This window comes from Homo sapiens, chromosome 10 (genome assembly GCF_000001405.40).
Source record: "Homo sapiens chromosome 10, GRCh38.p14 Primary Assembly".
In the NCBI taxonomy this organism is placed as follows: Eukaryota; Metazoa; Chordata; class Mammalia; order Primates; family Hominidae; genus Homo; species Homo sapiens.
Genome location: NC_000010.11, coordinates 59,650,017 through 59,675,649, shown reverse-complemented (window position 1 = coordinate 59,675,649; position 25,633 = coordinate 59,650,017). Strand labels below are relative to the sequence as shown.

The 25,633-nt window shown below is 37.4% G+C and overlaps 1 protein-coding gene across 14 annotated transcripts in view; it reads left to right on the top strand.

Annotated features, from left to right (window-relative positions):
• The window catches only part of SLC16A9 (solute carrier family 16 member 9), a 59,316-nt gene extending 34,430 nt beyond the window's left edge, over nt 1-24,886 (top strand). For 9 of the 14 annotated variants that reach the window (NM_001323977.1, NM_001323979.2, NM_001323980.2 and 6 more), the window contains 4 exons: nt 2,737-2,880; nt 11,328-11,423; nt 21,061-21,975; nt 22,700-24,886. In NM_001323977.1, the coding sequence (NP_001310906.1) occupies nt 2,802-2,880; nt 11,328-11,423; nt 21,061-21,975; nt 22,700-22,878 (1,269 nt within the window). In that variant the 5' untranslated portion in view covers nt 2,737-2,801 and the 3' untranslated portion in view covers nt 22,879-24,886. Of the gene's footprint in view, nt 1-2,736; nt 2,881-11,327; nt 11,424-21,060; nt 22,102-22,699 lie in introns of all 14 variants that reach the window. The other 5 variants (XM_017015883.2, XM_047424753.1, XM_047424754.1 and 2 more) reach the window with 1 other exon arrangement.
• Nucleotides 24,887-25,633: the final 747 nt, after the last annotated feature.

Here is a 25,633-nt window from a genome sequence, read left to right as displayed (position 1 = left end):
GAAGGTCGTACATCCACCATTTTGCCTCTTAGTGAGCATGCCAGAGTCCACTTGTCCAACTCCTGAGATCTTATTGGGAAGCTGCTGATCACCAGCTCCAGGTGTTTTCTGTCTACTGGGAGACTCTCTTCCCCTGGTGTTGGCTGTGGCCAATTATCATTTCAGAAAAACAGTTTAATAAACATCTGACCATCACCTGATGGTTACTGGAAATTCCTGGGTGAGGCGAGGGCTCTCCTGCCCTGCTCATGTCTGCCTAACTACCTACTCTAACAGTACCTTGATGTTCTTTACTAGTAATTTGATTTCTAGGAAAAAATTAAGATCCCAATTGAACTATTTCTCAATCAGGGAGAATGCTGGTCTGACTTTGGCCTTAGACCTGTCATTGGCTAGCTATGGACTCTTGGTCAAATCACATGATCTTTCTGAGTTCCAGTTTCACCATTTTTAAATTGAGGTGTTTAGACCGTTTTCAACTTCCAAAATTTCAGCTCTAAAATTTTTTGTCTTTAATCTCTGACCTAATGATATATTTCTCTAAATCAGCAGCAGATGGCAATGTGAAAGTAGAGAATTTTAAACCCTGTTTCCATTTGCTGTTTCCACTGTAAGAGAATTTCTGTTCATTTTTTCCTAATGCTTAAATTGTTCTTCAAAAAAAATCATTTGTTAGGCAAAAAAAGTGACTTAAGAATTTATCACATAGTTGATAACAATGCTGTATATTTCATACAGCAGTGGCTTTGGTTGTACATGTTATGAAAATTATTACTCCTCCATCTTGCCCCCACACTCCCAGGCTCTGAGGCTTCCTCATGGAATTAGCATGCATTAAAGAGCATAAAGTCCTATTTTGAGGATGAAACTTGAAACTTTTCAAGTATGCCAGGAATAATCTCTGTGTGTTTCAATTCCAATGTGTTGTAAAATTTGTGAACACTGAAACTCAATGTCAATGTAGTTTGGTAACAACAGAGAAGGGTCATGCCTTATGCTGTCAGACATTCATTTGTAAAATTAGACTCTTAAAACTGTTTCTATTTTTGAAGTATCTAAGTATTTCTCATTGGGTGTACAGACAGCCCAACTATTGGATGATAAATTTGGTCTTTCAAATGGATTTTCCTTTTAAAATACTGGCACAGAATATTTCCCTCTATTTGTCATGCAAATGTATCAGTCTCCTCTTCTGCGCTGACTCACACAAGAGGGCCTGAAAATGGGAGGGTCCAATTTATGGCCAGGAAGGAATGTGGGAGAGCCTTAAGCACCAGGAGCTATGATCTCAGTGTATCTCAGGGGCCATAAACTGGTCTTAAATATGTGTATAAGAAGTTCTCTGGTATTGGGAAGAATGTAAGAGCATAGTGCATGGGTTATTGGAACCTACCTCTGTCATTTACAAACAGTGAGACCATGATGGATTCCATTGTTTCTCTGAGGTTGCTTCAAAAAGTGGTAAAAGACACATACATACAGAAAAGTGTATGTATCATGACAGTATAGCTTGATGAATGCTCATGAACTGAATACACTCATATAATCATTACATTCATGCCAAGAACAAGAACATGAGCAATACCCCGCAAGTTTGGCTTTGCGCTCTTCTGATTATAACTCCCCAGCCCCTACTAAAGATAGCCAGTATCCTGACTTCTAACACAGATTAGTTTTGCTTGTTTCTGTAGTTTTTATAATTGAAAGTATATGGGTTGTACTTTTTATGTTGGGTGTCTTTCATTTACATTGTGTCTTTCATTTACATTGTGTTTGTGTGATACACCCTTAATGTGTGTAGTTGTAGATCATTTTCACTGCCATATAATTATGTATATAACTCTAGGTGTTTATGTGGAATTGAATTCCACATAGAATTGAAACTTCTGGGTTTTACAGCGTGCTGTGTTCGGCTTTAGTAAACACTGCCAGCAGTGTGTGAGAATTCTGTTCCTACCGCTTTCTTGCTAACAGTATTGTCTGTCTTTAGCCATTCTGGTAGGTGTGGTTTTTGAAAATTGGAGATCAACTTGAAAGGTTGTCAACTCAATTCAGATATACTTCTCTTTGCTTTCAAATCCTTGGTCTTTCTTCTACCATTGACTTGAACAGCTTATTTGAGCTTCAGTTTCCTTCCATGTTAAATGAGACTGTTGGGCTAAATAACCCTTAACGTCCTTTTATTTCTAGTACATTAAGTTCTGTACTTCTGAGTACAGTCCTAGTAGGAAAGAATTTCACTATCACTTAAATTCTGTTACATGAGCTGTTGCCCACTTACATGTAGAACAATTCCAGGTGATGGTCACTTTTGCCTCTCAGTCAACAGGGCACAGTAACACGGTCAGGTGGGTACTATTATAATTCCCATTTTCAGATGAGGAAACTAAGGCACAGAATGATCAAATAAGTTGCCCAAGACCGAATAGCTACCAAGTAGTAGGGCTAGAATTTGAATAAAATCTGACTCCAGAACCTCCATTTTACCTATGTGATAATATCATCCTTTAATTTCATTATCAAAAAGAATGGGACTAACAATAGTATACACCTCCCAGGGCTGCAGTAAGATTAAAATGAGATGAGATTGTTCATGTGAACTGCCTCATATAGTGTCTGCATATCATAAATACTCAGTGCATTTTATTTTTGTTGTTTTATGGTGGAAAGAATCATTTTGAACTTATGATGGATGGATCATATGATAATAAGTGAAGGTTTCATTTCTTTTTTTAGGTCCTGTCTGCAGTCTCTGTGTCTCATCTTTTGGAGCAAGACCTGTCACAATCTTCAGTGGCTTCATGGTGGCTGGAGGCCTGATGTTGAGCAGTTTTGCTCCCAATATCTACTTTCTGTTTTTTTCCTATGGCATTGTTGTAGGTAAGGAACCTCGTCACTATGACTTTCCTAACCTTCAAGAGATACACATCATTTCACCAGTGCCAGGTTTATGATCCAGTTAATGTAAAGGAGTGAAAATGCTCACTAATAATTTACTTTCAATAACCACTTCTCCAAAAACTGTTGCTTTAGTGAAAAAAACCTGCCCAGTGAATCAAAATGTTTGAAAGAACAAACAATCCATACTCTGTCTCCTTGCAAGGCACAGGGAAGTTTTTCATCTCAGCCCTTGTCTCTCTATAGCACATATGGGAAAAGTGAGAGGGGAACATAAAACTTGGATGTTATTGACATCTGTCACTTCTCACTAAATTATGAAGTGGCCCTTTTCCTATTGGGCAGTCAAGCATGATTCTTTGAAGCTGTTTGTGTTCACAAACAGCTGTTTGCATTCCATAGCATCTGTTGCTGTGAACCCAAGTGAAAAGCCACAGCACAAGTAAAAAGTAGATTTGAAAGCATGTATTACTATTTTTTTTAGAGATAAGACATGAGTGAAGAAAGCTGAGTGGTGGGATGATGCTGGTTACAGGGGAGGAAAGCATAGGAGGCGCAGGGCCTTAGAGTACTGAAAATTTGGGAAGATATCCTTGTCATGTCATTACACTAATTGGGTTCAGTGTTAAAAATCACCAAACTTGGTATTTCTAGGGACTGTTGGTAGGGACTTAGAAAAAGATGGCCTCCAGCTTTCAAGTTTCTTCTTAATGCCTGAAAGGAGCTAATTTTATTGACTACCAATATTCCTTTTTTCTGCCTGGAAATATTTCTCCAATAATAAATAATAGAAAATGTAGCAACTAATATTCACTGTGTACTTATCATATGCTAGGGACTGTGCTAAATGCTTTATATGATCTCATTTCCTCTTCACAAGAACCCATTTTACAGAGAGGGAAAGTGAAGCTCAGAGAAGTAAAAATATTACTAACTAAATTAGCAAAGCTAGGAGACTTCGTTTGATACTTAGAGATGCTCAGTCTGACACTCAGTAGTCCATTTATATGGGATTTGATATTGGCTTAGGCTTACACTTATGGCTATTGTCGCTGATGGTGGAGTTACAGGGCTTTCACTTGGTTTTCCTCACTATGATGGCGTTGTAGGGAATGATACCTCTTATTGCTTTGTCCAAGGGACCAAAGAACAATGTAGGGAGTTCTATCAGCTGTTGTGTATATGTGCTATAATTAAATATCAGGGACTGGGGAAAGGACCATTGGCTGGGCAGTTGGGGCATAATCCCATATATTACGTGCCCATGTAAGCCCACTCTAAGGGGAAGCCATGCAAACTCTTCGTGTCTCTAACAACAATGTTCAAAATGTATTTCACTTTCCTCAGTGTACAGTTACTTAAATAGATGGCATAGTTCTCTCTGGGGAAAGACTCACGTTATCATTCCATATATACCAACTTGTCATCATGTTTGTTGCAGTGTCCTTCCTCCTAGAGTCCTGGCCTTTCCTTCATTTAGTGGATTCTGGGTCAGAAAACAGGCTCAGGTCTGAGGATGTACATAGCTCTGATTTGGCAATAGGTTCTGATTCTCAGTGACTGAGAGGAAACTGTCAGCTCATGGAGAGAGCACTGGACTTCAGGTCAGCAGACACAGGTTCTGTGAGTTTGAGCAAGCTCCTTCATCTCCACAAATGACTGTACCCTCCCTCATCTGTGAAGGCAGGCTAAGAAACCTACCTCGTATGGGTCTTGTGAGGACTAAATGATGTCAAGCAAGATAACAATAAAATAAAGAGTTGAGTTAGATTTCAATTAATAAAAATATCTCTCACCACCGTAATTATTGGGGACCTGTGAGTTACTGCTTGCTGGCAAATTATTAATATTTACCACCATGGTTGATTTCTTCACAGTTTTATTTCATCAGTAGGCTCATAGTATAGGGCTCATGGAATGTTTGTGGGATAAATAAATGGGATAATAATGAACACTGGCACTTTCATTCTGTTACCATTTGAAGTAGAGTATCAAATTGAAAAAAAAAGTGACAGGAAATTATTACACAGTCTAAAATCTCATTCCTGTATCATGAGCTCTTTAGAAAAATAAGAACGGTTCAGTCTAATGGTAACATTTGTAAGATGCAATTCTGTGCAGAATCATATCCTAAGGACTTTCATTTGTCTGGAATGAGCTAGATGGCCTCTTTAGCTAGACAGTGTGACCAAGGGAAAGATCAGACACTGACTAGCAGGCAGGCTCTGGGGTTAGACCATGTGGGTTAACCTTCTTTTATCCACTTGCCAGCTGTGTGACTGTAAACATGTTTTGTAACTTCTGTGTTCTCATTTGTAAACTGAGCATCATAATAGCACCCGTCTTATAGGAGTTTGTGAAGATGGGTGACATAGTGCAATGAATGCTAGCTAGCATAAACCATTATCATTTGTTTTATGACCTGAAAAATTATTCAGCCTCTCTGAGCTTCCTTTTTTATTTTTTATAAAATGGCACTGATATGAGTTCATGGAGGTATTGTGACTATTCATGAGATAATGTTTATAAAGAGGCATACAGAGATGTTTAATACATATTTGTTCCTTTCTCCTTAAATTCCTTTCTGACCCATACAGCAGTAGTTTTTGGCTACTGAAGAAGCTCTATTGAATCAGAAATATTTGTGTAAGAGGTTTAAAAATACAAGAAAAGAAATTAAAGTTATATGGGATATTACAAGCTAAAATGTCAAAAGAATACTAAAGTGTGTTAAATGATATAATTCTGTTTTACCATTTAATTGATTTTTTTCCAAAACTAACAATTTGAAAACATGATGTTGTTTTGTTAGGTTTTTGTAGCTCAAATGAAAACCTGTACCAACTTGTCAGATTGCAGGATTAATTGCAATGAGGAACTTGATACCATATCAGTATAGATTTGTACTCTGTTACGGTAAATCCATTTGTTTATTCTGTACTTTTTTTTTTTTCTTTCGAGACGGAGTCTCACTGCAACCTCCGCCTCATGGGTTCAAGCGATTCTCCTGCCTCAGCCTCCCGAGTAAGCTGGGACTACAGGAGCAAGCCACCACGCTTGACTCATTTTTGTATTTTTAGTGGAGATAGGGTTTTGCCATGTTGGCCAGGCTGGTCTTGAGCTCCTGACCTCAGGTGATCCGTGGTCTTGGGCTCCCAAAGTGCTGGGATTATAGGCGTGAGCCACTGTACCTGGCCTCTGTTTATTCTGTACTTTAAATAGATCTTCATTCAAACCTGATTTTGTAGCATCATGCATTCTCTATTTGAAAAATATTGGTTTGCTGAGTTATGCAAGAACTTAAAAATGTTAACACATTTCATTGTAAAACATCACTTTGGTTAATACTGCCAACAAGCTCATTAGAAATCTTTATGTATTGGCAAGTGATTGTAAGCCACACAGCCAAATCTGGGAATTGAGTCTCCTGTTTTCTCAATAAATTTTCTAAATCAGGCAAAAGGCAATACAGTGAGAGATGAAAATTAGGTGGGTAGGAGGTGGTGGTGCAGGGAATGTGCCTGTAATGATTTGCTCAAGCCTCTTTCTAATAATTTCTCTTTGCTTTTCTGAAAAGCACAACTCAAAACCAATTCCTTGTATTCTCTTTTCTTTAGAATATATTGTTATTTAGCTAGCTGATTATGGTTTTCTTATTATTCCCTTCCTGATTTTTGGAAGAATTCCATTTTCTTCCCCTCACCTCCCACCACTGCCCTTTCTTTGGTAATACCTGCGTAGTCCACTGAGAGTGGGGAGGGAAAAGAACATGTTTGTAGACAGTCTGATTCTCTTACTGTAATTCTGCCAAATGAGATAAAGAGCATTTCCTGTATATTTGCTTTAGTAGAAATAGAGATTTATAAGCCCCCCCTTTCAAAATTGTTATATAATTGAAGATAATTTTTAACTGTCATGGATATGCAGGTGTAATAAGGTACTATGATTTTTTAATGTAGTCTGAGGCAGTATCTACATAATGCCATAATACTCAGGTGAAAAATGAAAAAAGTATACCAATATAATGGATTTTTTTTGTACTCATGATAGCATAGGGACAGAAACTACATATTTACATTTTTTATGTCTCTTAATTTTTACAACTATCTTACAAGATTGTTTTACAGATAAATAAACTAGGAATTAGAGAGTTTAAATGACTTTGCCAAAGTCGCACAACCAATTGTCTAGTTGGAGGAATAGACTTGAAAATATATAACTTGTAGCACAGCACAATAAGTGCAATGATGAAAGGAAGCCAATGTATGTGTGTGTGCTGGGGAGAGAGGGTGGAGGCTTCATGCTTAATTTATGCTTGCGCTAAGTCTTGAAAAACAGGCAGGAAGTGGTTCAAGTGGATACGGTTGGAAGGGGAGTGGGGATGGTGTGAGGAGGACATTTCAGTAGCCTAAGTACTCAGAGGCGCAAGATAGAATGGATAAACAGCAGTCTTTTTATACGTGTTTGTTAAGGAATGCACAGATGGTGTGAGGAGTTGCAAATATGTCAAAGCATGGTATGTAACAGAGGCCAGATGCTAACAGTTTAATGAGGTCTTTATTGCAGTAGTATGACATGATGAGAACTATATGACAACAGTTTAGAAGACAGATTGGTGGGAAAAGTACTGAAGGCTGAGACAGCTATTAGGAGGCTTTAGATGAGATTAAAAAAAAAAGATGAGGAGGTGAACTGAGGCAGTGTTAGTGCAGAGAGAGAGTGAGGTTGATAATTTAGGCCGTGGGTGTGATAAAGAGCTTGATGTCTGGTTTGATGAGAGGAGGTGAGGGGAAAGAGGCCTCTGAAGTTGTGTCTCCAGTGTGTGAAATGGAAGGTAAAGTGTGGAAAAGAAATGTTACAACATGTAAATATATTTAGTTTTTACCATTTAAAGAAAGGGAAACAACTATGCCTTACTAATACTGATGCTGTGAATGGTCAGTAGTACAAGTATTTAATTTTAAAATTGTTATTCTTTTACTGGAGGTTGGTACACAGAATTTTTTCACTGGTAGGGGTCTGATCCAAACTGGTTGGAGGCCAAGGAATGCTTTAAGGCAGTGGTTTCCAAACTGTTTAATCTTGGAACCCTTTACATTCTTCTATTTAGAACACCTGGAAACTTTTGATTATGAGGATTATACTTAGATTTAGTCTATTAAAATGTGCTGTATTAAGAGATAAGACACTTAAAAATATTTGTTTAGCTATTCATTTCAAGATAACGAATCCAGTAGATGTTAACGTAAATATCATATCTATTATGAAAAATAACTCTGTTTTCCAAAGCAAAACAAAATTTGGTGAGAAGAGTGCCATTGTCTTACATGTTTGCAAATCTCTTTAATGTCTGGTTTCATAGAAGGCAGCTATATTCTCCTATCTACTTCCGTACTCAATATGTTACAATATGCTTCTTGATTGAAGTATATGAAGAAAATCTGGTCTCATACAAAGATGTAATTAGAAAAGGGAAGAGTGTTTAAGAGTCTTTTCAGGTAATTATAGATATTCCTCTACCGAAATTTGTTAAGTGATAGTTTCCTAAGGATTAATTGCAATGAGGAACCTGATACCATATCAGTATACTTTTCATACTCTGTTATAGTAAATCCATGTGTTTATTTTGTGCTTTGAGTAGATCTTTATTCAAACTTAATTTTGTAGCTTCATGCATTGGCTATCAAAAAATATCAAAAAATATCAATTTGCTGAGTTATGCAAGAACTTAAAAATATTAACACATTTCATTGTAAAACATCACTTTGGTTAATATTACCAAAAAGCTCATTAGAAATCTTTATGAATTGGGAAGCTGTCAAATGCATGGTGACAGATACAAGTTTTCCAAAATTCTGTGTGTTTTTTTTTTTTTTTTTTGCTGGAAAATATGAATTTTATCATTGGTAACAATTACTGTCAGTTGTTTCCCAGCGTTGGTTCATTTACAAGAAAATATCAGCCAGACACCCAAGGTTAAATAACTGTAGTTTGTCTGTCAGACACTGTTTCAAATAAAACGATGTTATATTTTAAAAGTGGTTATTTCAGCTAGCTATAAAACAATCACTTAAGTGCTTATACTTGCAGCAATTATTGTAATTCAGGTGAAGCATTGAAAACAAATGTGTTTGTTTTTACTGTGAGGGTGTGGTTGTGAAGCCTATGAAGTGTCTAGTTCCTTAGGAATACCTTAGTTTGTGGTAGGCTTTTTGCAGTTTTACTCAGCATCTCTTTTGCACCATCAGCATAAATGTGAACATAGTGAAAAAAGCAGAGAACATCTTAGTATTATTATAAAAATAGGTTTGACTTGACTAACTTCATGAAAGATCTTAGGGACCATAGGTACACAGACTTCTCTTTAACAACTGCTGATTTAAGGTTGTCCTGATGCAGATGAAGAGAGGAATCATGCCACCTTTTGCTTTCTTTTCTTTTTTTTTTTTTTTTGAGACAGAGTCTCGCTCTGTTGCCTAGGCTGGAGTGCAATGGCGCGATCTCAGCTTGCTGCAACCTCCACCTCCAGGGTTCAAGTGATTCTCTTGCCTCAGCCTCCTGAGTAGCTGAGACCACAGGTGCACACCATTGTGTGCCTGGCTAATTTTTTGTATTCTTAGTAGAGATGAGGTTTCGCCATGTTGGCCAGGCTCATCTCAAACTCCTGACCTCAAGTGATCCTCCCACCTCGGCCTCCCAAACTGCTGGGATTACAGGCATGAGCCACCGTGCCTGGCCTCACCTTTTGCTTTCTGACAAATTTAAAGTAAATGTGTTTCAGATTTCTGCTACATTAAAAAAAAGTGAGGTAATCTTATCTGAACCCTAAGGCCTTTAAATCATTTTAAAAAATTCATTTTAGTATAAGATTTAAAGTTTAAAAGTTGCTGTTTCAACTTTTTTGGCATTGACATTTAGTAACCTGAAATGTCTTTTTTTCATGTCTTGAATGCTTAACCTTTGACACAGCTCTGACAACGAAATCACGGAAAGCATGTAACTTTGCATTATTTACAATAAAACCGCCTCCAAAGGCTTTCAGAAATAGTCTTAGTTAAGGGTGACACTTTTTGGCTTCACAAAATTGATTGGTTAGAAACAGTTCTTATTTCATGTTTTGAAGTGTCCTCTGTGTAGTAATGACAACTATATAAATTAATCCAACTCATGTCTTAGATTTTGAGAGTATTTTTTTCCCCATAAATGACATAAAAGGGCACTCTATTTTTAAAGGGTTAAAGTCTAGTTGTTTTAATCTCTCTCATTTCATTAATAAGACTCTGTGTGCAATTATGGATAATCATCTGAGTCATGGGTTAAGTGCTGATTTCCTAAAATGTTTATGCAGTGTATTTGTTAAACTCATGTATTCTTTTAAATCATAGTCCAGGTAGCTATTTTAAGTAAGGAAAATGGCCTTAATAATTCACATAATAGGCCATAGTTAAAATTCAGTTATTAGACTATGGCTTATTTGTTGTTTTAGAGTGATCCTCAAGAACAGATAATGTTGTGGAAGAAAAGCATAAAGTAAATGACTGAGGGCCAACGGAGAATTATATGAAAAACAAACTGGGGTTGTCAGATTCTTAAAAGGGAAGAAAATATTAAGCTAACAAACGAGAGCCTTGGAGATGATCTGGAGATAAATATTACCCTTAGGATTCAGGAAGAGAAATTTAGTTGTAACTTTTTTTTGTTGTTAATTATAAAATAATTTCAAATTTACAGAAAAGTGGAGAATAGTATAGCAAACAACCATATGCTCACCAATAGTTGTCAGTATTTTGTTGTATGTGCTTCCTTTTTTTGGTGAAAGTATTTTAAAGTAAAGACATTACTACATTTTACTTCTAAATAAGGTAATATGCACCTCTAAAAGATGAAGACTTACAGATACAAATTTCACTGTGTGAGATGATATGAGAACCCCACAGGGCCTTCATATTGCAGACTGGCTTGTGCAGGCTAAACTCTGACAAAATAGCTTTGAGTGATCAAGTGTATTTTAAAAAGTTGTTTAGAGGACTTAGAAGAGGAAGAACACTGAGCTGGGGGCAAGGACTTGGAAGAGGCATAGATCTCTAAGGGGCAAACTTGATCAAATTTGCTATTTGGTATGTGAATTTAGCCATTTTCCTTCTTTCTCCATAATCTCTTAATTTACATTGGCGTTATTCATTCATGCTTTAGAAATTGGATACTTTTTTACTTGACCCTGATCTTAAGGTGGGTGTGGGGTGAAAAATGAGGCTGCCCAATGGTGTCTATTGGGGCTACACACATGGAAGGAATCTAGGAGTCTGTACTTGTAACAGTTTTAGCCAGTGAGTAATGGAATGTCTTATCGGACATACTTGTTTTTCCTTTTTTCTCTTGCATTGAAGTAATGCAGCGTCTTAATTTATGCAATGTCTTCTCATGCTTAGGTCTTGGATGTGGTTTATTATACACTGCAACAGTGACCATTACGTGCCAGTATTTTGACGATCGCCGAGGCCTAGCGCTTGGCCTGATTTCAACAGGTATATTTTCAAAATGAGTACAGTATTGTCACCATTCAGTCTTCTAAACAAAGTAAAAAGTTACCAAGCACAGACATGTTTAACCAACCATTACCCAGCTACCAATCAGGTAGCAAAATAATTTCTTTACTTCTGGAAGGAAAGTTTATTTTACACCATAAATATGGCAGTAGCTTTCTTTTTTTTTTTTTTTTTACATTTTACATTATAAATTTTTATGTCTTGTATGGGATGTTTTCTAAAATATATAGCTCTTCTAAAATTGTAAACTGATATTTAGTATAACATTAATACATTTTTACATGGACACCTATCATTGTCAAAGCACTTTTAGAAACTTAAATTTAAATGATCATAAAACTTGAAAAGTTGTCTTTATGATATTTCTAAAAAAGCTATTTTTTCCTGCCATTGTGTTTGCTTCCTGAAAGTCCAAAGTAAACCATCTCGTTATTTATTATTTATTATTATTATATTTTAAGTTCTGGGTTACATGTGCAGAACATGCAGTTTTGTTACATAGGTATACATGTGCCACGGTGGTTTGCTGCACCCATCAACCCATGATCTACATTAGGTATTTCTCCTAATGCTATCCCTCCCGTAGCCCCCCACCCCCCAACAGGCCCTGGTGTGTGATGTTCCCCTCCCTGTGCCTATATGTTCTCATTGTTCAACTCCCACTTATCAGTGAGAACATGTGGTGTTTGGTTTTCCGTTCCTGTGTTAGTTTGCTGAGAATGATGGTTTCCAGCTTCACTCATATCCCGGCAAAGGACACAAACTCATTCTTTTTTATGGCTGCATAGTATTCCGTGGAGTGTACGTGCCACATTTTCTTTCTTTCTTTCTTTTTTCTTTTTTTGAGACAGAGTTGCGCTCTTGTTGCCCAGGCTGGAGTGTAACAGCACAATCTTGGCTCACCACAACCTCTGCCTCCCGGGTTCAAGTGATTCTCCTGTCTCAGCCTCCCGAGTAGCTGGAATTATAGGCATGTGCCACCAAGCCCAGCTAATTTTTTGTATTTTTAGTAGAGACGGGGTTTCTTCATGTTGGTCAGGCTAATCTCAAACTCCCAACCTCAGATGATCTGCCCCTCTCGGCCTCCCAAAGTGCTGGGATTACAGGCGTGAGCCACCATGCCTGGCCTATACATGCCACATTTTCTTTATCCAGTCTAACATTGATGGACGTTTGGGTTGGTTCCAAGTCTTTGCTATTGTGAATAGTGCTTCAATAAACATACATGTGCATGTGTCTTTATAGTAGAATGATTTATAATCCTTGGGGTATATACCCAGTAATGGGATTGCTGGGTCAAATGGTATTTCTAGTTCTAGATCCTTGAGAATTGCCACACTGTCTTCCACAATGATTGAAGTGTAAAAGCATTCCTATTTCTCTACATCCTCTCCAGCATCTGTTGTTTCCTGACTTTTTAATGATTGCCATTCTAACTGGCATGAGATTGTATCTCATTGTGGTTTTGATTTGCATTTCTCTAATGACCAGTGATGATGAGTTTTTTTTCATATGTTTGTTGGCTGCATAAATGTCTTCTTTTTTTCTTTTCTTTTTTTTTTTTTTTTTTTTGAGATGGAGTTTTGCTCTTTTGCCTAGGCTAGAGTGCAGTGGCGCAATCTCAGCTCACTGCAACCTCCACCTTCCAGTTTCAAGTGATCTCCTGCCTCAGCTTCCTGAGTAGCTGGGATTACAGGTGCCTGCCACCACGCCCAGCTAATTTTTGTATTTTTAGTAGAGACAGTGTTTCCCTACATTGGCCATGGAGGTCTTGAACTCCTGACCTTGTGATCTGCCTGCCTCAGCCTCCTAAAATGTTGGGATTAAAGGTGTGAGCCACTGTGCCTGGCCAGATGTCTTCTTTTGAAAAGTGTCTGTTCATATCCTTCACCACTTTTTGATGGGTTTTTTTTTTTCTTGTAAATTTGTTTATGTTCCTTGTAGATTCTGGATACTAGCCCTTTATCAGATGGATAGATTGCAAATATTTTCTCCCATTCTGTAGGTTGCCTGTTCACTCTGATGATAGTTTCTTTTGCTTTGCAGAAGCTCTTTAGTTTAATTAGATCCCATTTGTCTATTTTGGCTTTTGTTGCCATTGCTTTCGGTGTTTTAGTCATGAAGTCTTTGCCCGTGCCTATGTCCTGCATGGTATTGCCTTGGTTTTCTTCTAGGGTTTTTATGGTTTTAGGTCTTATATTTAAATCTTTAATCCATCTTGCGTTAATTTTTATATAAGGTGTAAGGAAGGGGTCCAGTTTCAGTTTTCTGCATATGGCTAGCCTGTTTTCCCAACACCATTTATTAAATAGGGAATCCTTTCCCCATTGCTTGTTTTTGTCAGGTTTGTCAAAGATCAGATGGTTGTATATGTGTGGTGTTATTTCTGAGGCCTCTGTTCTGTTCTATTGGTCTATATCTCTGTTTTGGTACCAGTACTACTGTAGCCTTGTAGTATAGTTTGAAGTCAGGTAGTGTGAAGCCTTCAGCTTTGTTCCTTTTGCTTAGAATTGTCTTGGCTATATGGGCTCTTTTTTGCTTCCATATGAAATTTAAAGTAGTTTTTTTCCAATTCTGTGAAGAAAGTCAATGGTAGCTTGATGGGAATAGCATTGAATCTATAAATTACCTTTGGCAGTATGGCCATTTTCACGATATTGATTCTTCCTATGCATCAGCATGGAAGGTTTTTTCATTTGTTTGTGTACTCTCTTATTTCCTTGAGCAGTGGTTTGTAGTTCTCCTTGAAGAGGTCCTTCACATGCCTTGTAAGTTGTATTTCTAGGTATTTTATTCTCTATGTAGCATGTGAATGGGAGTTCACTCATGATTTGACTATCTGTCTATTATTGGTGTATAGGAATGCTTGTGATTTTTGCCATTGATTTTGTGTCCTGAGACTTTGCTGAAGTTTCTTATCAGCTTCAGGAGATTTCGGGCTGAGATGATGGGGTTTTCTAAATATACAATCATGTCATCTGCAAACAGAGATAATTTGATTTCCTCTCTTCCTATTTGAATACACTTTATTTCTGTCTCTTGCCTGATTGCCCTGGCAAGAACTTCCAATACTATGATGAATAGGAGTGGTGAGAGAGGGCATCCTTGTCTTGTGTTGGTTTTCAAAGGGAATGCTTCCAGCTTTTGCCCATTCAATATAATATTGGCTGTCGGTTTGTCAGAAATAGATCTTATTATTTTGAGATATGTTCCATCAATACCTAGGTTATTGAGAGTTTTTAGCATGAAGGGGTGTTGAATTTTATCGAAGGCCTTTTCTGCATCTACTGAGATAATCATTTGGTTTTTGTCATTGGTTTTGTTTATGTGATGGATTACATTTATTGATTTGCATATGTTGAACCAGCCTTGCATCCCAGGGATGAAGCCAACTTGATCGTGGTGGATAAGCTTTTTAACGTGCTGCTGGATTTGGTTTGCCAGTATTTTATTGAGGAAATTCGTATCAATGTTTATCAGGGATATTAGCCTGAAATTTTCTCTTTTTGTTTTGTTTCTGCCAGGTTTTGGTATCAGGATGATGCTGGCCTCATACAATGAGTTAGGGAGGAGTCCCTGTTTTTCTATTGTTTGGAATAGTTTTAGAAGGAATGCTGCCAGCTCCTCTTTGTACCTCTGTTAGAATTTGGCTGTGAATCCGCCTGGTCATGGGCATTTTTTTGGGTTGGTAGGCTATTAATCACTGCCTCAATTTCAGAGCTTGTTATTGATCTATTCAGAAATTCGACTTCTTCCTGGTTTAGTCTTGGGAGGGTGTGTGTGTCCAGGAATTTATCCATTTATTCTAGATTTTCCAGTTTACTTGTGTAGAGGTGTTTATAGTATTCTCTGATGGGATTTGTATTTCTGTGTGATCAGTGGTGATCTCCCCTTTATCATTTTTTATTGTGTCTATTTGATTCTTCTCTCTTTTCTTACTTATTAGTCTGGCTAGCGGTCTATGTATTTTGTTAATTTTTTCAAAAAACCAGCTCCTGGATTCATTCATTTTTTTGAAGGATTTTTCATGTCTCTATCTCCTTCAGTTCTGCTCTGATCTTAGTTATTTCTTGTCTCATGCTAGCGTTTGAATTTGTTTGCTCTTGCTTCTCCAGTTCTTTAAATTGAGATGTTAGGATGTTGATTTTAGATATTTCCCACTTTCTCCTGTGGGCATTTAGTGCTATAAATTTTCCTGTAAACACTGCTTTAGCTGTGTCCCAGAGATTCTGGTACATTGTGTCTTTGTTCTCTTTGGTTTCAAAGAACTTATTTATTTCTGCCTTAATTTTGTTATTTACTCAGTAGTCATTCAGAAGCAGGTTGTTCAGTTTCTATGTAGTTGTGTGGTTTTCAGTGACTTTCTTAATTCTGAGCTCTAATTTGATTGCACTGTGGTCTGAGAGACTGTTTGTTATGATTTCCGTTCTTTTCCATTTGCTGAGGAGTGTTTTACTTCCAATTATGTGGTCTATTTCAGAATAAGTGCTGTGTGATGCTGAGAAGAATGTATATTCTGTTGATTTGGGGTGTAGAGTTCTGTTGATGTCTATTAGGTGTGCTTGGTCCAGAGCTGAGTTCAAGTCCTGAATATCCTTGTTAATTTTCTGTCTCATTGATCTGTCCAGTATTGACAGAGGGATGTTAAAACCTCCCACTATTATTGTGTGGGAGTCTAAGTCTCCTTATAGGTCTCTAAGAACTTGCTTTATGAATATGGGTGCTCCTGTATTGGGTGCATATATATTTAGGATTGTTAGCATTGATCCCTTTACCATTATATAATGCCCTTCTTTGTCTTTTTTGATCTTTGTTTCTTTAAAGATAGGAGAAAAGGAACGAAAATTAACATCCCTAAGGCCACTGTCAGAAAGACTGATGCTGATCATGTCTCCACCTCCTTGTAGTGTGGAACTTACAATTTTTCTAAAGTACTGGTTTCTCAATACCTCTCACTGACCTACGTGCATATCCAAATGACAAGCTGTTTACTCTTGTTATTCCTTTAGTAATCAAGAGATGATCACTGAGGGGGAAAATATAAAATATAATTTTTAAATATAAAAGCATTCTGGACATATAAAAGTGGTTTTTCAGTTTTCAGATGAATTTTTTAAAGTTATGTACAGTTCTTATCAAAATTTATGTGGCCAACATTTCCTGAGTTTTTTAGGACATACAGTTGCCAAGTTATCAAAAGTTGTAAATTTACATATGCTTCTTGCTGGTAGGTGGGTAACCCTGGAAGGTCAGGCTTTTAGATAGCCTGAAGAACGTCAGTAGTTATTCTGGCAACAGGATCCAAACTAATATTTTATTCCTGAGGCCAACCCAGTGGCAACAAAGTGATTCATGGTTGAATTGAATCCAGCTGTATATTTCCCCAACATATTTTAAAAAGCACTGCCCGGTGAGAAGTGTGAATTGTGGTCTAGGTGGAGACAAGGCCAGAGTCAGAGGACATGGCTAAGGCAGTGATGGGAGAAGGGATGCAAAAACAGAAGATGGGGAATCCAGAGTAGTTGGAATGCAGTTTGCAGAACCTGTGAGGATCTTCCACAAGTGTGGGAAGGACTGTAAGAGTAGGCATGGCAGCTTCAAGGACAGTGGGTCTCACCTGTACTATATTTGCTGTAGAGGCAGTATGACATCGAGTTAGAAGCACAAGCCTGGATCCACACTGTCTAGTTTTGAATCCTCTTCTGTCACTCACTAGCTATCTGGTGTTAGACAAGTTACTTAACTGTCCTGTGCCTCCGTTTTGGAACTGTAAACTGGGGATAATAGTACGTTGATGAAAAGAGTCAAATTCTTTAAAATATTTGAATTTTTATGAGTAACAAATGGCCTGTGACAGAGTCCCATGAGAGTCTGTCTCAGGTGGTCAGGCTAAACTTGATTTTATACATTTTAGGGAGACATAAGACATCAATCAATATATGTAAGTTGTACATTGGCTTGGTCTGGAAAGGCAGGACAACTGGAAACAGGGGCTTCCAGGTTGTAGGTGGATTCAAGAATTTTTTAAGTGGCAGTAAATTGAAAGGGTTAAGTTATTGTCTGAAGATCTAGAATCAATACAAGGGAATGTCTGGGTTAAGACAAGGGGTTGTGGAGACCAAGGTTCCCATTATGCAGATAGAATCAATAGAAGGGAATATTTCTTATCAGACTTAAAGAGTCTGTTCTATCAGTCTTAAGGTGCCTGTTTTAATGTTAATACTGGTCAGCTGTGTTTGAATTCCAAAGAGGGGAGAGTATAATGAGGCATATCCAGCCCCCATCCCCCTGACCTTATCACGGCCTGAACTAGTTTTTCAGGTTTACTTCAGAATACCCTTGGCCAAGGGGAGGGTCCATCAGCTGGCTGGGTGGCTTAGAATTTTATTTTTGATTTACAAATAGTACCCATCACATTGGGTTATTGGACATATGAAAGGGATGTATGTGTAAGGCACATGACAGGGGCTCTCAAGTGTTAGCAGTTATAATTCTGACCTAGGTTTCCCTAATGTCCAAATGTATTTGTGTTGAAGGTGTTGGGAGTTGCATGCTGTGACAGATGATCTTGCTTTTCACTCAGTCTTGAGAGGAGGGCATAGGGGCCTGGTCCATAGCACACTAAATAAAAAATGAAGCAACTATGGGCAGTCAAGATTTAAAGGAGTTTTCAGTTTCAACTCACAGGGAGCTAGGTGAAGGGAAATTAGGGAGAAGTATGAACCCACCTTCAGTCAAAGATATGATAAGCTAAACAAAAGTCACAGCAGAGTTTTTTAAAAATTAAAAAGAAACCCCGCATCAAAACACTTGAAATATTGTGACCTAGTTGAAAGAAAGGAATGTGGGCATGAAATGAAGGTTTGGGGGAAGCGATCTTCCTCTGTAGTGAACAGGGGTTGGTCCACAAATGCCTATGGGCCAAATCTGGCCTACTGCTGGTTTGTGTATGATTAACAAGCTACAATTGGTTTTTACATTTTTAAATGAATGAAAAAAATCAAAAGAAGAATATTCATAATACGTGAAAATTATGTGCAATTTACATTTCAGCGTGCATAAATAAAATTTTATTATAACACAGCCATGCTCATTTTTTTATGGATTATCTCTAGCTGGTTTCATGCTTCAAGGGCAGAGTTGAGTATTTGGGACAGAGATTGTACACCCTCTATGCCTTAAATATTTACTCTCTGATCCTTTCGGGAAGTTATTGACCCCTAGTATTAATGAGTTAAAGCATGGCTGTATTTCTCACTGCTTCGTGTTCCCTGAACGCCATTTAATATTTTCTCTCTTTGTAATAATGTATAACATGCATGGAAGCATAATTAGTGCTTTATTTCACTTAACCCTTTACAATGATTATTTTAAAATTAGGATGCTCTTTTTGAAGATTAAAAATTACAGTTTTAGCTATTGCACGCAGGGCTTAATTCCTAGGTAATGGGTTGATAGGTGCAGCAAACCACCATGGCTATATTTACCTATGTAACAAAACTGCACGTCCTGCACATGTATCCTGGAACTTAAAATTTTTAACAATCACAGTTTTGCAGTTTACAAAATTCCACCAGGAAACTCTAAATTACTTTTCAATACCCTGGGGGAAAAAAATCCTGTATCTTTCTAAACCACAGACATGTTCTTGTGGGATGAAGGCTGAGGAAACTAGCCTCCAATGTGTAATTTGATATTCCCCATTCTCTGCTATCTTATGTGTTCAATAAATATCTGTTGAATTGATTTTCATCATGTTGACAGATAAACTTGGTTGGCAAGAATAGGAAAGTTGTTTATTTATTTGTTCTGTGTGAAAATATAGAACTTTCAAAACACCAAGAGCATTTTTAAGTATCTAATGATGTGACACTTTGTTAGAATCTGTACAAAGAAATAGGCAAAAATCACAAATTTATAGTTAATGGGTACTAATGCAGTACATGAGGTCACCCTGCTGTTTTTAATTCTGTCAGTGTGTTTTCTGTAGCGTTTTTAACTTTTACAGTATATGCCACGTTTAATGAGAGAAGGAAAGGGTTACATTTGTCTACTGTTATTACTTCTCAGTAGTTAGCAAAGAGATACTCTCTTAGCAGTCCCAAAAGATACTATTTTAGTTGCCATTACATTAACATGAAACATTAATATTTGCATGCAAAGTTTTTTTTCCTTTTGGGAATGAAGGGGTTAACTTTAAAAAATGTTAAGAAGGGACAACTGAGGTCCCAAAGAAAATATTTTCTTACAACTCTAAGGCAGAGCCATTTGGCTATTTGGAAGAATTGTTTTATTAGATGGGTTTTTATAGCAATCATATCCATGCAATCAGTGATGCCTCTGAGCTTGGTCCTATTGGCATCCTGATGAGATTATAATGTAATTTAATACTGACCATTTTAAACATATGATCAACCTTTTCAGACTATTTTTTTCCTGATTTTTCACATGACATTTCCCAATGACATTTACATTTAAAAATGCTCAGTTTATTAAAGATTGAAATCAGAACCAGATGAGAACAGTACCAATTGATTAGGCTACCATAACTTGGCAACCCTCTGTGTTTAGTGTGATCAGTGCTAAAAAGGTGAATTATTCACAGTGTTACATAGATGTATAAACCAGCATACTTTGTAATTTAAATACCCTAAAAAAATTCTACTTTTCTCATAATTGTATTAATGCATGAAAAGGATGACTCACTCATTCCGGTGATTCAGCAATGGATTTGAACTATCAAGCCATTATAAATATCCTTAAACTGCAATATACTATTTTTAAAAAGTAAAATATGAAAATTTACTTTTCTGGAATAAATATGTAGCATGGAGCCTGGCACATAATAAGTGCAAAGAAAATAGTTTCATGATGATACTTGGTTTTTGGGTTTTTTTGTTTGTTTGTTTGCTTGTTTGAGACGGAGTCTCACTCTGTCACCAGGCTGGAGTGCAGTGGTGCAATCTTGGCTCACTGCAACCTCTACCTCCTGGGTTCAAGCGACTCTTCTGCCTCAGCCTCCCAAGTAGCTGGGACTACAGGCGTGTGTCACCATGCCCAGCTAATTTTTGTATTTTTAGTAGAGACGGGGTTTCACCATGTTGGCCAGGATGGTCTCGAACTCCTGACCTCGTGATCCACCCACCTCAGCCTCCCAAAGTGCTGGGATTACAGGCCTGAGCCACCACACCCAGCCGATGATACTTGTTAAGAATATGGGCTATTGGGTTCAAACTGACTGAGTGTGAATCCTATTTATGTTCTTTACAGATTTTTGATCTATGGCAAATTTCTCAACCATTCCAGCCCTAGGTCACTTCATCTCTAGATTGGGAATAATAATAGGACCTACTCAATGGGATCAGTAAAAGCATTAAACATGATCGTGCAATGTAAAGTGCTTAACAGTGTCTGAGCTGCAAATTCTAATTCTTAAATGTTCTATCAGTATTACTATATTATTGTTATTATTGTTATCTTCTATCTTCTTAATATGATTTTAATATGAAGTTACATATAAATGCCAGTATAAAAAATAAATTGAATTGTGATATTACAAATTCTAATCCTGAGAGCCTCAGATTACGAGGTTGAACAGTTCCCATTCCCTTTTTAGGTTCAAGCGTTGGCCTTTTCATATATGCTGCTCTGCAGAGGATGCTGGTTGAGTTCTATGGACTGGATGGATGCTTGCTGATTGTGGGTGCTTTAGCTTTAAATATATTAGCCTGTGGCAGTCTGATGAGACCCCTCCAATCTTCTGATTGTCCTTTGCCTAAAAAAATAGCTCCAGAAGATCTACCAGATAAATACTCCATTTACAATGAAAAAGGAAAGAATCTGGAAGAAAACATAAACATTCTTGACAAGAGCTACAGTAGTGAGGAAAAATGCAGGATCACGTTAGCCAATGGTGACTGGAAACAAGACAGCCTACTTCATAAAAACCCCACAGTGACACACACAAAAGAGCCTGAAACGTACAAAAAGAAAGTTGCAGAACAGACATATTTTTGCAAACAGCTTGCCAAGAGGAAGTGGCAGTTATATAAAAACTACTGTGGTGAAACTGTGGCTCTTTTTAAAAACAAAGTATTTTCAGCCCTTTTCATTGCTATCTTACTCTTTGACATCGGAGGGTTTCCACCTTCATTACTTATGGAAGATGTAGCAAGAAGTTCAAACGTGAAAGAAGAAGAGTTTATTATGCCACTTATTTCCATTATAGGCATTATGACAGCAGTTGGTAAACTGCTTTTAGGGATACTGGCTGACTTCAAGTGGATTAATACCTTGTATCTTTATGTTGCTACCTTAATCATCATGGGCCTAGCCTTGTGTGCAATTCCATTTGCCAAAAGCTATGTCACATTGGCGTTGCTTTCTGGGATCCTAGGGTTTCTTACTGGTAATTGGTCCATCTTTCCATATGTGACCACGAAGACTGTGGGAATTGAAAAATTAGCCCATGCCTATGGGATATTAATGTTCTTTGCTGGACTTGGAAATAGCCTAGGACCACCCATCGTTGGTAAGATATTTATCTTAAAATCATCCCATTTTACTGTTCTTCCTTGTCATATCTCCAGATATAGAGGTCCAGATTGTAATAGTAGCACAGATTTGTACAAAAGAAATCTGCATGGAACATCTCATGGTAATGATTTATTCAAGACTGCTTTGATATAATTGAGAAAGCGAATATGCATGCTCTGGGATTTGTGTTCGCTCTTTATTTGGGAGAAACTCAAAATGCCTGCTTTTTTTTTTTTTTTTTTTTGAGACGGAGTTTTGCACTGTCGCCCAGGCTGGAGTGCAATTGCGTGATCTCGGCTCACCGCAAGCTCCGCCTTCTGGGTTCATGCCATTCTCCTGCCTCAGCCTCCTGAGTAGCTGGGACTAAAGGCACCTGCCACCACGCCCGGCTAATGTTTTTTGTTGTTGTTGTTTAGTAGAGACGGGGTTTCACCGTGTTAGCCAGGATGGTCTCCATCTCCTGACCTCGTGATCCGCCCGCCTCGGCCTCCCAAAGTGCTGGGTTTACAGGCGTGAGCCACCGCACCCAGCCTGCCTGCTTATTCTTATCCAAATATTTGAGAGATTCTCTTCTTCTAACTCCCAGTAAACCACGCTGGAAGTAGTGGAGTAATATATATACTAATTATAACTATATATAAAACTGATATAATTAGGGTATGGGATGGATGTTCATACTATTTCCATGAAACTTACTTTTTTTCTTACTGCCTTTTCAGGTTGGTTTTATGACTGGACCCAGACCTATGATATTGCATTTTATTTTAGTGGCTTCTGCGTCCTGCTGGGAGGTTTTATTCTGCTGCTGGCAGCCTTGCCCTCTTGGGATACATGCAACAAGCAACTCCCCAAGCCAGCTCCAACAACTTTCTTGTACAAAGTTGCCTCTAATGTTTAGAAGAATATTGGAAGACACTATTTTTGCTATTTTATACCATATAGCAACGATATTTTAACAGATTCTCAAGCAAATTTTCTAGAGTCAAGACTATTTTCTCATAGCAAAATTTCACAATGACTGACTCTGAATGAATTATTTTTTTTTATATATCCTATTTTTTATGTAGTGTATGCGTAGCCTCTATCTCGTATTTTTTTCTATTTCTCCTCCCCACACCATCAATGGGACTATTCTGTTTTGCTGTTATTCACTAGTTCTTAACATTGTAAAAAGTTTGACCAGCCTCAGAAGGCTTTCTCTGTGTAAAGAAGTATAATTTCTCTGCCGACTCCATTTAATCCACTGCAAGGCACCTAGAGAGACTGCTCCTATTTTAAAAGTGATGCAAGCATCATGATAAGATATGTGTGAAGCCCACTAGGAAATAAATCATTCTCTTCTCTATGTTTGACTTGCTAGTAAACAGAAGACTTCAAGCCAGCCAGGAAATTAAAGTGGCGACTAAAACAGCCTTAAGAATTGCAGTGGAGCAAATTGGTCATTTTTTAAAAAAATATATTTTAACCTACAGTCACCAGTTTTCATTATTCTATTTACCTCACTGAAGTACTCGCATGTTGTTTGGTACCCACTGAGCAACTGTTTCAGTTCCTAAGGTATTTGCTGAGATGTGGGTGAACTCCAAATGGAGAAGTAGTCACTGTAGACTTTCTTCATGGTTGACCACTCCAACCTTGCTCACTTTTGCTTCTTGGCCATCCACTCAGCTGATGTTTCCTGGGAAGTGCTAATTTTACCTGTTTCCAAATTGGAAACACATTTCTCAATCATTCCGTTCTGGCAAATGGGAAACATCCATTTGCTTTGGGCACAGTGGGGATGGGCTGCAAGTTCTTGCATATCCTCCCAGTGAAGCATTTATTTGCTACTATCAGATTTTACCACTATCAAATATAATTCAAGGGCAGAATTAAACGTGAGTGTGTGTGTGTGTGTGTGTGTGTGCTATGCATGCTCTAAGTCTGCATGGGATATGGGAATGGAAAAGGGCAATAAGAAATTAATACCCTTATGCAGTTGCATTTAACCTTAAGAAAAATGTCCTTGGGATAAACTCCAATGTTTAATACATTGATTTTTTTTCTAAAGAAATGGGTTTTAAACTTTGGTATGCATCAGAATTCCCTATAGATCTTTTTGAAAATATAGGTACCTGGGTATCACACATAGAACTTTTAATTCTGCTGGTGTAGGCTGTTGCCCAAACATCTATAATTTTACTGAGCTCTTCAAGTGATTCTGATAACACAGCCTGGATTGAGAATTTTTATAAGATTGGCAATGGAAAAACATTTATTCTTTTAAATAATAATTTTTTTAAAACCCAAGAGGTCAGGGGATTTTATAAACCAATAGCCAAGTGTTCTTTAAATAGGAGGCACCCTTCCCATTGTGCCAAAATCATCTTTTCATTTATTTTGAAATTTGTATGATTATTTTATACTTGTATGTTGCCTTTCTTCGAAGGCGCCTGAAGCACTTTATAAACACAAATCCTCACAATACCTCTGTGAGGTAGGTAAATAGTACTTTTCTATGTAGTAAACCTGGAATATGGAGAATTTCATAACAGTTCATTCTACTTAATAATGCAATAATGGAGCTCCAAGTTGTCTTGGACTTCTACACCACACTCAGACTTCTGGAAAGTTTTCTGTACCTCATTCTTTAGTCCCTGTCAAGGTTAGTAAATAAAATAAGTGACATAAAAAAAAAAAAAACTAAACTACTTGTTGTGTTGAAAGTTCCTTTTTGCCAGTTATGTTCAGGAAACCCAATAACCTGAAAAAGTTTGACTTTGATGTGACATCTTCATATTCATCAATGCTGATAATTGTCCAAAGGCATCTTCACTATGTCTGCTAAATAACATCCAATGTGGGCGTTATCTGTTGTCTAGGGGATGAATTTTAAGTTACAATAAAATATTTTTCTTTGTTTTGCATCAGTTTGGTTGCTTTTTCTCCTCTTAGTTCTCCACCCAATTATAGTGACATGTCACTTGAATGTAAAACTATAAATTACCTGGCATAATTCAGACTCTGGAACATGGTTATTGGACAAAAGCATATTCAAAATGCTTAGCTACTTTTACCATTGCCTTCCAAAAAGCTAGTTTATCAGCTTTACCTCTTGTGGTAAAGAGTACTCTGCAGGTCTTAGTTCTTAATAATAATTTATAGAATTCTTAATATGTTTCAAGCTTATGTTGTTTAACCCTCATAATAACCTTGTGAGATGGAGATTATGACCCTCATTTTATGATCTAAAACATAATTGTCATAATACTATGGACAACATATTATAAAAGCATAAGTAATTTCCAAAATCAAAATGCAAAATTTTTCTCTTTGTAGAAATTAAAGTAAACCCTTTAATTTCTAACATGGTTCAGAAATTAGCCCTGGCCAGGAGGGTTGCTCTAAAGCCAATCCTTTAGTGAACAGAGAAAATTTTCTGTAGGGTAATCATGTCAGCAGGGAAGAAGGTTCAGCCACCGACCTTTAAAGGGCTCATGAGGAACAGTTCCCAAGAACCAGGAGTTCCAGTACTGGGAGGTCATGACCAAACATTTACGCCAGCCAACCAGTCCAGTGACCTTAGGTAGCCTCGGTGCTTAGCAGTTGGTATAGAATTATCCTAACTCAGGATGTTCCAGGACATAAAGGGGAGCTCCATTTTGAAACAAAGG